Source organism: Homo sapiens, chromosome 3, assembly GCF_000001405.40.
Source record: "Homo sapiens chromosome 3, GRCh38.p14 Primary Assembly".
Lineage (NCBI taxonomy): Eukaryota > Metazoa > Chordata > Mammalia > Primates > Hominidae > Homo > Homo sapiens.
Window position 1 is genome coordinate 146,501,200 of NC_000003.12, and position 13,906 is coordinate 146,515,105.

The window sequence follows — 13,906 nt, forward strand, 5'->3', positions numbered from 1 at the left end:
CACAGAGGAGTAAATTTACTGTTTACATTTTCAAAATTCTTTACCAAACAAACATTGGACGTCATTTGCTAAGACAATGGTTCTCAAGTCTGGTCCCCAGATCAGCAGAATCAGTATCACATTAGAAATTGTTAAAATGCAAATAAATTCTCTGGAAAAGTCTGATATCTACTCAATCAGAAACTCTGTGGATGGGCCCAGCAATCTTCATTTTATCAAGTTCTCCAGGAAATTTATATACATTCTAAAATATGACAACAATCACTGTGCCAAAAGAACCCTAGCTAATAGGTTATGTGTAGTGGATATACCTGCTCCAAAGTTTAACTAGAAATGATATTTTAAAATAAGTTTTAAAGGCAAGTGGTTAAAGGATTTCAGAATAACTGAACTCTGCGTCTTAATTTGTTTGATGTTGCTATAACAGAATGCCACACACTGGGTAATTTATAAACAATAGAAATGATTTATCATAGTTCTGGAGTCAGAGAAGTCCAAGATCAATGCATTGGCAGGTTTGCTGTCTGGTAAGGGCCTGGTCTCTACTTCCAAGATGGTGCCTTGAACCCTGCATAATCTGGAGGGGAGGAATGCTGAAAGAACAGGAGAGAAAATCTGTTCCCACAATCCTTTGTATAACAGCATTAATTCATTCATGAGAGCTCCATCCTCATGACCTAAACACTTTCTAGTAGGCCCCACTTTCTAACACTGTTGTACTAGGGGTTAAGTTTCAATATGAGTTTTCAAGGGAACAAAAACATTCAGACCATAACACTATGCAAGTATGATACTCAGATATCAAACAGACTTTCACTTTAAAGGGGAAAAGTGAGTAACATAATAATAGGTAATGCCATTGTGCTGCTTGCTATCAACATGCCAGACATGGCTCAATGAAGATTTCATATCAAAACTCATAAAATTCTTAAAACAACCCTTTGAACTGTATTGAAACTATTTAGAAGTGTGGCCACAGGTGGACTGGTTGGTTCCCCCTGTTAATAGGCCTATTTTACAGATGGGAACATTAAGGCATGGAAAAGTTATATGACTTGCCCAAAGCTCAAAACTGCTCAGAGGAAACTGCGGCACAGCTGGGACTAACTCTAATGGGATATTTCCATGGTCTCCACTTTTAATCATGAGAAAATGCTGATGTTTATAATAAATCATTTTAAATACTTAAATTTTATTCAATTATTTTCTTCTGAGGAGTATTTTATGGATATGACAAAACTACTGGTAGGTGGGTGCAAATGGAGACATTTAGGGCTAATTAGGCCAGACTACATTTGAGAATTTAGCCAGCAAAGTATCCTGCTTGTGTGTTTTTAATTTGAGAGACATTAGCTGGGCTGCAGTTTTGGTTCTCTACTGATATGGTTTGGAAGTATGTCTTCTCTCAATCTTATATTAAAATGTGACCTTCAATATTGGAGGCGGGCCCAGTGCAGGGTGTTTGGATCATGAAGGCAGATCCCTCTTGAATGGCTTTGTGCTGTCCTCATGGTAATGAGTGAGTTCTCACTCCATTAATTCACATGAAGGCTGGTTGTTTTTTATGCCACCTTCTCCCCTCTCTCTCTTGCTCCCTCTCTTACCATGTGACATACCTACTCCCTCTCTGCCTTCCACCATGAGTAGAAATTTCCAGAGGCCTCACCAGAGCTGAGCAGATACTGGTGCCATGTTTGTACAGCCTGAAGAACTGTGAGCCAAACAAATCTCTTTTCTTTACAAATTACCCAGTCTCAGGCATTTCTTTATAGCAATGTAAAACAGACAAACGCACCTACCTTCCCTCATTGCTGGATGTCTTACACCTGTAGTACTATGCATTTATCTTACTTGTCTGGCCCAAGCAGGTGGTTGAGTCATGAGTCTTGGTTATCAGGTTTAGTCCTAGTCAACATGAGTCCTAAAACAAAGCTCACAAAGACACACAAGTACATGATGGGATATATCTCCTTTATTTTTTTTTACTGACATGGGATTACTTTGTTCTCTTCTGGCCCCTACCTATATGAGGAGTTTCTCTGTGGGAACTTCACATCATTCTCCTTAGAAGTCAGAATGTAATCTCCTATGAGTTATGGCAAACAAGAAAACAAACAGAAATCTGTAGGAGTTGCCTGATAATAATTCAAATTCCCAGGGTATATATTTTCCATTTGAGTCACAGATCAGAAAATGATTCAATAAATATAGTTGATGCAAATCTCAGACAGGTTTTTTTTTTTTTCTTTTTTAATGGTCTACTATTCTTTGTTAACTGAGACTCCCTGTTCTCCCACTACCCAACCCATAGGTGGCCTGCAGCACCTGGTAAACAGAAAGGATAGATTTAATTGAAAGACTCCTTTTATTGCAAGGCAATTGACAAATGTTACCAGAAAATAAACTCCCACCATTCCCAAGGGAACGGATTTCAATCTGGTGGAACAGGCTAGACTACACGGAACTACACTGATTCTGACGTGAGTCAGCAGAGGGAACAAAAGGACTGAGATACTTAGAAACTCTAGTGAGTAGGCAAAGTCAAGTGCTTTACATATCTCAAATTCTTTTTTTACTTTCTCTCCCTTCATTTGTGAAACAAATTTCTCCTAAGACCTTTCTCTAGTGGGGCACCAGTAAGTCCACAGGTGGCTACAACTGTAAATACTCTTGAATTCAGTGCACATGGATTTTCCTTATTATAACATCAGCAGTGTTTGGTTGGTGACTCATTTGCAGAGTCTGCGGCAGTGCAGGGGTTTGTGCAGATTCAGCTGTAACTGAAACTTAAGCCCAGCTTGGCCAGACACCCACTACATTCTTACCTCCCTGTACTCTTGTGGGCTCAAGACTGAGTCTCGCTCTGTCGCCCAAGATGGAGTGCAGTGGCGCCATCTCGGCTCATTGCAAGCTCTGCCTCCCGGGGTTCACGCCATTCTCCTGCCTCAGCCTCCCGGGTAGCTGGCACTACAGGCACCCGCCACCACACCTGGCTAATTTTTTTGTATTTTTAGTAGAGACGGGGTTTCACCGTGGTAGCCAGGATGGTGGCGATCTCCTGACCTCGTGATCCGCACCGCCTCAGCCTCCCAAAGTGCTGGGATTACAGGCGTGAGCCACCGAGCACGGCCGAATGCAAACATTCTTGATTCTCCTTCATTTCCCTCCTTGTTTTTTGTCTTTCTGACTGTATTCTCTTTGATAGTGTATTTAATATTTACTCAGTTGAATTAAGCTTATTTTAATTTACTTGTAAGTTAAGTTGATAACTTTCCCTAGTTTTGTTACTGGAAAGGGGTCCTGATCTAGACCCCAGGAGAAGAGTTCTTGGACCTCACTCAAGAAAGAATTAGAGGCAAGCCTATAGACTAAAGTGAAAGCAAGTTTATTAAGAAAGTAAAGGAATAAAACAATGGCTACTCCATAGATAGAGCAGTGGCATGGGCTACTTGACTTAGTATGCTTATAGTTATTTATCAATTATATCTCAACAAGGGGTGGATTATTCATGAGTTTCCTGGGAAAGAGGCGGGTAATTCCCAGAACTGAGAGTTCCTTCCCTTTTTTTATCACATAGGGTAACTTCCAGACATTTCCATGGCATTTGTAAACTGTCATGGTGCTGGTGGGGTCTTTTAGTATGCTAATGCATTATAATTAGCATATAATGAGCAGTGAGGAAGGCCAGAGATCACTTTCCTTGACATCTTGGTTTTGGTGGGTTTTGGCTGGCTTCTTTACCACGACCTGTTTTATGATCAAGGTCTTTGTGACTTGTGTCTTGAGCTACCTCCTGTGTCTTCCTTTGACTAAGAATGCCTAACCTCCTGGGAATGCAGCCCTGTAGGTCTCAGACTTACTTTATCCAGCCCCTATTCACAATAGAATTGCTCTGGTTCAAAGGCCTCTGACAGTCTCATATCACAGTGACTCTCCCACCTGCATCAATTCGTCCTATAAAGCATTACTTATTTAGGCACCACTTATATTAGGTAAGTATGTAAAATAAAAAAGTATTCTACAAATTATATAAACCAGTCATTTGTTAGGCCCACAAAACTTCAATACTTAACACTTACCCTTACAACTTCAGCTTTGTATCTTTTTTCTTCTATTAAAAAGCTTTAAAATCAAGTGGTTTTAAAACATGCACAGTGTAGCCTAAAATATTTTACATAAAATTAAAAAAATGTTGAGTAGGAAATGTATTTTAATTACAAAATTAGATACATCTTTAAAGTCTTATTTTGACTCCCATATTTCTTCTTTACCACAATATAACTTGCTTGTTTACAAACAAAACCAAAATTACTAAATAAATAATATATAGCTGTTAAAATACTAAAGGCTGATCTATTTTATCAGGATATTAAATTAACTCTGTGTCTTGCTCCTTCCTTTTGCCTGTTTTATGTTCCATCAATAAATTGCAGCTGTTTAAGGGGACCAGACCAGAATAACATTCAAGAGGAAATAAGCTGTCAGGAATATTTGAAGGGAATTGTTTATACAAAAATATTGAGCAACAGAATAGGAGAGTAAGCTTGGAAACAGATCCATAAATCTATGAAAAGTGGATGGCTGGCAAAAGTAGCAATACAAATCAGTAGAAAAGATGAACTCTTTGCTGTTATTGGAGCGATTAGCTGTTTGTATACAATAAAATTAGATATCTACTCATATATTAAAAAGTTCCAAATGGAGTAATGACCTATCTATGAAAAATAAACCTTCAAAACAAAAGAAAAAAAATACAAACCTTGAAAAAATGATATGATTTAAAATTTCTCTAGACAACAAAAATATTATTTCACAAATAAAGTGAATTAAAAGCCATATCCTGAGAGAAGATATTTACAATGCCTACAAACTTATAAAAGATTTGGTTGCATAAAAAGAAACTTCTACAAATTAATAAGAAAGTTGACAGCAAACAAATACAAAAATTACTAAAGTGTGCAAAAAGATGATTCACATTAGAGGAAACATGAACATCTAATTTTAACAAATGAAAACATACTCAACCTCACAATTTCATGCAGATGAAAACAAGAATGAGATTCCCAATTAAAAATATTGGGAATTCACCAAAACAAAACATAACCCAACAATACCAGATCTGATGGGGGATGTAAAGCTGTAGTGATGGTCATACACTGGTGTTTAGACAATAAATTGGTATGATTTATTTGGAGAGCAATATTACAATATTTCATAATGATGTTTAGACCCTTAGAAGCAGCAATTTTACTCATAAGGATAATCATAAATGCTTTTTTTGACATGAGCACAAGGATACATGTACAGAAATATTCATTGAAGTTGATTATAGAGGAAAGAGGAAAGTTGGCATATTATTCAGGGTTCTCCAGAGAAAGAGAACCAATAGGGGTAAAAAAAGTGAATATATACCGTGTGTGTGTGTGTGTGTGTGTGTGTGTGTGTGTGTGTGTAAACAAAAATTGTGGGAGGTCATTGTTTTGGAGTGAGCTCACGCACTAGACTCCAACAAACCAGATTAAACCACAATAGAGTCACTCATGCCAAATGTTACACAATCATACTGAAACTTTAAGGAAACAGACAGATCCCAAGCAGACCATTTTTTTCCCCTGAAAACAGGAAATTTCAATCTGATTGAGTCAGCATAATAAGGAAGTCCCTCTGCTTTAACCCTTACAAAAAAGTAACCTGAAGTAATCTGATGTTAACCAATCATTTTTTTTTAATTGTGCCATTTCCTCATTCCCACCTTACAAGGCCCATTGTTCTTTTATTGTCTAGTCAATGAGAATGATGAGACTTTATTTCCTGGTGATATTTGTAAGTTGGCCTACAATAAGAGGAGTCACAACAGCCTTCAATTACATTGCTATCCTTTCTGTTTACCAGGAGCCACAGGCCACCTGTGGATTGAGTAGCTGGAGAACAAGGAGTCTCAGTTAACATAGATTAGTTGATTATTAAAAAAAGAAAAAAAAAACTGCATGAGATTTGCATCAAGTATATTCATTGACTCATTTTCTAATCTGTGACTCCACTGGAACTTACTTCATTTTCTGGAGCCAATGTTTCTCTAATGATCATTCCAAACTTTTTGCTAGAATAAATTCTTCAAGACTGAATTCTGATTCTTTTGATTATTTCAGATTGACAGAGCTAAAGACAATGGAAACAGTTTCAATAGAAAGAAGCTACAGGACTTCTTACAGCCCACAGTACCAGAACATCAAGCTATTTAGCTGCAGATGTGTACTACTCTTGAAGATAAGAAAAGCAGTAATCCTGAGGGCAATTCAGAGGTCATCAGGTCTGTCTCCTTGGTTTTCAATGGGGGAGAGAGCCATTGCCTTGGTTTCAACAGGCTAGACAGTGGCAGCCTGGAGCCTGGAGAATGAGAATTCACTCAGCTGAGCCTTGGGGGTGGATGTGACTCTCACATTGCAGAGCTTTGAGGGCACAACCCCCACCCAAAAAAGCCTTGCAGGACATGGGTCTCAAAGACAGAGCATCAAACTAAAAAGAATTATTCTTGAGCCTCAAGATCTAATGGCATTTGTTTGCTAGGTTTTGAACTTGATTTGGACATGTTACTCCTCTCTTCCTCCCAACTTCTCCATTTTGTAATGGGAAAGTCTATTCTATGCCTGTCCCACTATTGAAATTTGGAAGTACGTAACTTATCTGGTTTCACAGGCTCACAGCTGGAAAGAAATTTTGCCTCAGGATGAATTGTACCTTGAGTCTCATTCATATCTGATTTAGATGTTTCTTAAATGAGACTTAGAAGTCCAGAGTTGATGAGAGAATGAGTTATGGATTTTGCTACTATTGGGATAGAATTAATACATTTTACATGCAAGAAAGACATGAATGATGGGGGGCCAGGGGTGGAATGTTATGAACTAAATGTTTGTGTACCTCTCCTGCCAAATTCATATGTTGAAACTCTCACCCCTAATGTGGTGGTATTTGGAGTCAAGGCCTCTGGAAGTCAATTAGGTTTATAAAGGTGGGGGTCTCATAATGGGATGAGTGTCCTTATAAGAGGAGGAAGAGAGACCAGGGCTTGGACTCTCTGCCATGTGAGAACACAATAAGAAGGTGGCTCTCTCCAAGACAGAAGGAGGTCCCTCACCAGAAACCAGATCTGCTGGTACTTTGATTTTGAACTTCCCAGGCTCCAGAACTATGAGAATTAAACGTCTCCTGTTTAAGACAGCTTATGATATTTTGTTGTAACAGCCTGTGCCAACTAAGACAAGACTGAAGAGATATGGATGTTAATGACTGATAAGTATACAAAAGGAAGTGAGGAGCATGGTATGTATTTTCTCTAAGAAAATGTTGATCATCTTAGAGAAGATTTACATCAACATGAAGAGACCGATGGTAGAAATACAGAATTAAATGCACTTCAGGTGAAGGTTCAGATGAGTGGAAAAAAACTTGTTATTGGAAACTGGAGGAATGGAGATCTTTTTCATATCATGGCAGGCAGCTCAGCTGAATTGTATCATGCAGTAAATGTAAAGTTACTCACTATTTTATTTTTTGAAATTAATAAGTATCTTATAAGAAGCTACTTTGAGACAATGTAAGTACTGCATATTGCTTTTCCTTAAATGTTCATCAGTAATTTTAGCAGCCACCGATGTTTCCTTGCTGGAATAAAATTATTGTGATGATGACTGTCAAATGGTCATTTCCTACCTTCGTCATTTCTTCTATATTTTTTAGTTGACTTCTAATGAAACAAACAAACAAAAACCCCTTTTCTTTCTTCTTTCCTTTTCATTTAATCCCTTCCTTTCTTCTTTCCTGCTTTCTCCTTTACTTTTTGCAGCAGATAAGTTCTTGAGGGAGCCATGAATCGTATAAAAAAGTGTCATATTATTTTACCTACTGGATTGATGGTGACTATTGTTTTCCTTGTCAGAAAATAATTATTAAAGAAAGTCAATATAGATACTCTCTTAACTGATCTTAATTTACCCAACTCCTTGGGTTGACATTTCCTATTCTCTCTGTAAAACCTAATTATTAGCTCAAATTATGCTGAATACACTTGACTATTACATTAAGAGGGTCCCTATTGACTCTCTAGTTCTAGGGTACGTCTACTCTCTCAAAAGTTCTACACCAACTAAAAGTGATTTGTATTTATTTGTAAATCAGTTTATACAAAAGATTATTGTAGTTACAGAAAGTAAATATTTTTACTTGCTTTGATTAAATATTAATATAAAAGATTGTTTCTATGTAAGTTAATCTGAATTCCTTTAAAATGCTTATTAAGTCTACTCAGTAAAGTTGATTGCTACTGAGTTAGTAAAGGGTGAGCCAAATATGAATGACTGAAAAATCATGGTAAAAATTGACTGGTCTACACTAAGATACCTTTGAAAGTGTCTTAGAATTCTGGCTCTATTGAAACAAAAATAAACTGTGTATTTTTATAGAAGAAAGACAGTGCAGAATAGTAGACCCACACTTGGCCCTTGCCCCTACTTAAAAGATTGATAAATAAATAAATGATATGATAATAATAACAAAATAATAAAATTCACCCTTAATTTATTTTAAATATATTCATCTTTTTTACAGATATGCTTCATCTTTTATTGACTTTTTTACTTACACAACTAATTATTAATACCATCTCCTCAGATAAATGGACTTTGGTTATTTTGATAGCTTTCAGGACCTGAAACGTAAATCGATTCACACTGTAAATTTGAAAGATAGATAATTCAACAATTTTAGGCCATCTACCATGTATCCAGGTTTTGGTGATGAGGGAGATACCAAATCACCATGAGAAAACTTCTGTGTAGACAAAGTAACTTTCTCATCTGAAAAGGCTAGACTAGTTCCTAGAGAACAATCAGGCAAGCCATGCTGCTTGGGAAAAAAAAAAAAAAAAGTGCAGCTTTAGAGAAGTCCACCACCTGATTCCTAGAGACTGAGAGAGAACTATGTGTAGGAAAGGACACTTGATCTTTCCTACCTCCTCCCACCTCAGCCTCTCAAAGTGGTGGGATTACTGGTGTCAACCACCATGTCTGGCCCCAACCTGAACTTCTTAATGTGGCTAAGGCACTGTATGATCTAACCACTCTTTAGATGTCCTACCCCCTGCATGTCTTTCACTCACGAAGGAACACAAAACCAGTGGCCTAGCCACATTTCAGACCCCTGAGGTGACTTCTGTTTATGTTCTTTCCTTTGCCTGAAATAATCTCACTTGCCTTTTGTCCAGCAAACTTTCTTAGTTTAAAAGTTACTTCCCCTAATTTCCTGACCATTAAAACTGAGTTCAGTGTCCCTACTACCCCTCTCCATAGTACTCTGGATCCTATAATCAAACATTCCATATGTATAATTGACCTTAAGCATCTTGTAGAAAATAATTTTTGTTGCTTATTGAGACCATCGTACCTAGCGTAACTACTGGCCCAGTGTAGAAGCTCCGTATGTACTTGTTAAATAATTGATGAGCAGTTTCAGTGCCCTTAAATCAATCAACTTTTTTTTTTTATATTCATTTCCTCCTCAGGTATAACGTTTACAAATACATTTATGTGAATTATTTGAGTGAATCTGTCTTTATTCATAAAAACTGAAATAGATTTGCAAAAAAAATAATTTTGCGAGTAAATTATCTTCTGCTTGTGACTTGCAATAACGGGGAAAGAATTCAGGCAGTATGATTTAACAGAAATGTGCTTAGTAGGAGCCATGGTTTAAAGGTATGTGTGCCCCCAAATTCATTTGTTGGAAACTAAGACCCATTTTGACAGTATTCAGATATGGGGCCTTTAGGATGTGATTAAGTCATGAAGGCACCATTCTCATGAATTGGATTGGTGACCTTTTAAAAGGGCTCGGTTGGGTCCCTGTTGACCTTCTGCCTTCCGCCATGTGAGAATGCAGCAACAGGGTGCCATCTTAGAAACAGAGAGCAGCCCTCACTAGACACCAGAATCTGTTGGTGACTTGATCTTGGACTTCTCAGCTTCGTGAACTATAATTAACAAATTTTAGTCCTTTATAATTACACTGTCCCTGTCTAAGGTGTTTTGGTATAGAAGCCCGAGTGGACCGGGTGGTAGACTAAGATCTAATTAACTCTGTAAAGTCAATATAACCGAGAATTTCTCTAAGATATTTTCAGGTGGTTGCAGTCTATTGGCAATACCTGACTAAAGTTGAAATGTTTCCTAGCAACTAACTCCTTTGCTGAAATAAATAGGCCAATGTTTGTTCCCTATCACTGCCAGACAGAATAACCTCAATGTGTTAATGATGGAAAACCCCCAGAATCCACAGGCAGAAACAAATTGTACTTAGTAGGCAAGCAGATCAATTTTCCAAATCTATTCAGAATTCAATGTGGGTAGATTTATAATCTGCATTTTGGCATAAATCTGATGTTTTCTACCATATAAACATTAACAGTAGGTTAACGTTTAACTTGAATGCTTGGTGTGTGTATGTGTGTGGAGGGTTGTTAAGTGCAGAGCTCTGTGACCAGTTGTACTTGTTCCTTATCATTCCATGGCCCTCTCAGTTTGTAAATCATGAGTTCAGACTCTGTATTGTCAGTTGTTTCATCTGGTTTCAGGGGCCCAGATTATTGTTCCTCTCTCTCTCTCTTTTCTTTTTCTTGAGAAGCAGTTTCACTCTTGTCACCCAGGCTGGAGTGCAATGGTGCAATCTCGGCTCATTGCAACCTCCGCCTCCCAGGTTCAATCAATTCTCCTGCCTCATCCTTCCCAGTAGCTGGGATTACAGATGCCTGCCACCATGCCCAGCTAATTTTTGTATTTTTAATAGAAACAGGGTTTCACCATTTTGGCCAGGCTGGTCTTGAACTCCTGACCTCAGGTGATCCACCTGTCTTGGCCTCCCAAAGTGCTGGGATTACAGGCATGAGTTACTGCGCCCAGCTATTGTTCCTCTCTTAAAATAGCTTGCCACATTTTGACACTATAAAGCTAAGATTAAAAAAGGCTCTAACACAGAAGCCAGAGACTCTGTTCCTCCCTGTGCCTTAATTTCCCTTAATCTACACTTCTGTGAGATGAGCATCATTCCCTAGCTTGGCATCTTGCATGGACTTTTTTTTTTTTTTTTTTTGAGGAGATAGTATTCTTGCTAGGGTTTAAATGGATTTTGCTTGCTATTCAAATCACAATACAGAAATTTACTTTAGGCCAAATATTCTTCACTGGCTTTGAGACACTTCTCTGTGTTCTGAAAACCATTGATCTTTACCAACACATAGCCCTTTTCATTTTTTACACTGGTTCTATTGCAGGAACCTGCTCAGGTCTCTGAACCTGCATTAGAACACTGAATCTTCATACTGACCTTATGAGGTAGATAACATAATCAATTGACAACGATACTATTGACAACTAAGGGAAATTAAGGCACAAGGAGGAACACACAGCTTGAAGGAGACAGTACCAGGTGCAGGAACATGGCCCTAGAAACTCAGGCGGTGTATGCTGGGCTAGAGACAGTAAAGGAGAGAGGCAGGACATGGAGGGAAACCCTGTACACTTTTCTGGCACTTTAAGCTCTAGGAGCACTTCATTGTGCCCAGAGACATTTTAAATCATTCCATTCTTAACTGATGGCAGCGATTCTCTACAGAGGCTTTTCTAGTTACCCTAAAGTTACAGTTGTTGTTTTTGAGCCCAAATGCAATTAAAGCTTCAGTACTTATCCATAGAGTAGCTAGCTAACTTGATGCCGGGAGCCCAGACACTGACTTTCTGGCAATTTAATTGCCTGTGGCTGGTGCTTTTTGTTTTTTCCTCTCCCAGCCTTGTCTCTACTTTCACTTACACTCCCCTCACTCCTCAACCCTCCCCCAAGAGGTACATAGGAGAGGTACTGACATCCCTTAATCTTGTCTTCCTCCCCTCCCTCCCCTCCTTCTTCCTCCCTCCTTCTCCCCCTTCCTCACTGACCACCTACCTAGAACTTCCTTCCCAAGATCAAAAATATACCTCCATGCCCCATCCATTGCAGCTTTTCCTCCTGAATATTTTCCCTAGTCAGGGACACGCAGTGACTTTCCATTCACTGTTATAACTCACATGGTAGAAATAAAAAAATATGCAACATTTCCTCAAATCTCATTGAGATTACAAATTAAACTTTGAAAAACAATTCCTGGTATTTTCTTAATTAAATATCGAATTTTTCATGTGTGATTATTTTCTGTATGTAATTATGTAATGAGAAGATATTTGTCTAGTATTTAAATAGGTTCTGCAGAAGATATGTGGGGTTTTGCTCAGATCTTCTTTGCAGAGTTGAAGAAAGAAATGTTTAGATCAGTTTAGTTTCATTTTGCTTAACCAAAGATCCAGAATCCTGTTGAGAGAGAGAGAAATAATGAAAGTAAAATTTAGCTGTCACAGAGATAATGTCAGTACTCTAAGCCTTATTTTGGGTTAGTTTTGGCACATTATGGCCAGTTTGGAAATCCTATGCCCACCCTCTTCTGTAACTGGCATAACAATGCCATTGGGATTCAGCTATGCAAGTACCTCCACTTTTCTTGGCATGCCATCTGTACCAAGCACATGCTCTGAGTTCCATGGGTACACCTCATCACTGGAACTTGGCATCTGGTGAATTGTTTAGACTTGTGGGAGATCATCTAGACTTGACTTTTCCTGAAGATCTCCTGCATACTAATGTTCTCACCGCTTGCCATTTGGAGCTATTGAGGTCTAGGGCACTAACACCATGAGGAGAGCTGCTGTTACAAGAATTGTGCTGAATATGAAAGAGGGACTCTTCCACATGCCCTTATTGCTTAAGCATACTTTTCCATTGCATGAAGAATATTGTGGGTTGTTCATGTCATCTTTCAACTCAATCTTCATTACAAAAGAGATTAACTAAATTCTTATAAGCTTCTGACAGGTGGAAATCCTAGTTTCCAACACTGGTACAGATTTTACTACAAAGTGTCATGTACCTTTGCTCATTTTTAAAGGAGATTTGAAAGGAAAAGTCAGTTAAATATGATGGAGACAGGAGGCAGAGAAATTCTAGGTAGAAAAGGGTGAGTCCCCAGTGAAAACCCTACCCTCAAGCTGAAATGCCTGAAACCCCGGCCCAAAGTGAGAATTTATATCCCTGTTTTCCTACTTGAATGTTGCCTTTTCCTAAACTGCCCATGGCCCGCCCTGCCTGCAATCCTGTGCCTATAAAGACCCAAGACTCAGTCAGAGAGGAGTGGAGACTATGGCTGGACATTGGAGAGAAGCAGCTTGACTTCAGAGGGACAGCTTGACAGTGTAACTTCAGAGAAGAATCCAGCTGGACAGGGCCAGACTTCAGGGGAAGATCACCTACCCCACTGTCCCCTTTTCAGCTCCCTTTCTCACTGAGAGCCACTTTCATCAGCAATAAAATCCCCCTCATTTACCATCCTTCAGTTTGTTTTTGTGACCACATTTTTCCTGGACACCGGACAAGAGCCTGGGAGCCATGAGTGCCGATATAAAAGGCTCTCACATTCGCCATTTGCCCTTGCTGGTGGAGGGCAGCTGTCCCACATGACAAGGCAAAGGGCCCACTGAGCTGTTAACACTTAAGCCGTCCACAGACAGCAGAGCTAAAAGAGCACTGTTAACACATCTTCTGGGGCTTCAGGAATCGCAGGCAACCCCACCTGGATGCTACCACAGGGCCTGCACAGTTTGTTCCTGCCCATGCCAAAGCGGCCAGCCAGTTCCAGTGCTTGTACACTCCAGTTCCTGCCTTGTTTGCCTGTGCACTCCCTCCCAGGAGGAGTTGAGAATGGCAGGCTGAGTAAACAAGGCACCCCTGTCTCGAGTCCTGTGAAGGGGTCAGGGAAATATCCTGCTTCAAA

General features: G+C 39.0%; 4 annotated features.

Annotated features, from left to right (window-relative positions):
- Positions 2,424–3,240: an enhancer, noted in NCBI's record as "H3K27ac-H3K4me1 hESC enhancer chr3:146221410-146222226 (GRCh37/hg19 assembly coordinates)". NCBI's record gives its function as "activates a minimal SCP1, AML or CMV promoter by ChIP-STARR-seq in primed H9 embryonic stem cells {active_cell/tissue: H9 hESC(primed)}" and the evidence as "EXISTENCE:reporter gene assay evidence [ECO:0000049][PMID:30033119]".
- Positions 2,878–2,927: an enhancer, noted in NCBI's record as "active region_20673". NCBI's record gives its function as "activates an Ori minimal core promoter by ATAC-STARR-seq in GM12878 lymphoblastoid cells {active_cell/tissue: GM12878}" and the evidence as "EXISTENCE:reporter gene assay evidence [ECO:0000049][PMID:35858748]".
- Positions 5,552–6,217: an enhancer, noted in NCBI's record as "NANOG-H3K27ac hESC enhancer chr3:146224538-146225203 (GRCh37/hg19 assembly coordinates)". NCBI's record gives its function as "activates a minimal SCP1, AML or CMV promoter by ChIP-STARR-seq in primed H9 embryonic stem cells {active_cell/tissue: H9 hESC(primed)}" and the evidence as "EXISTENCE:reporter gene assay evidence [ECO:0000049][PMID:30033119]".
- Positions 12,953–13,454: an enhancer, noted in NCBI's record as "H3K27ac hESC enhancer chr3:146231939-146232440 (GRCh37/hg19 assembly coordinates)". NCBI's record gives its function as "activates a minimal SCP1, AML or CMV promoter by ChIP-STARR-seq in naive H9 embryonic stem cells {active_cell/tissue: H9 hESC(naive)}" and the evidence as "EXISTENCE:reporter gene assay evidence [ECO:0000049][PMID:30033119]".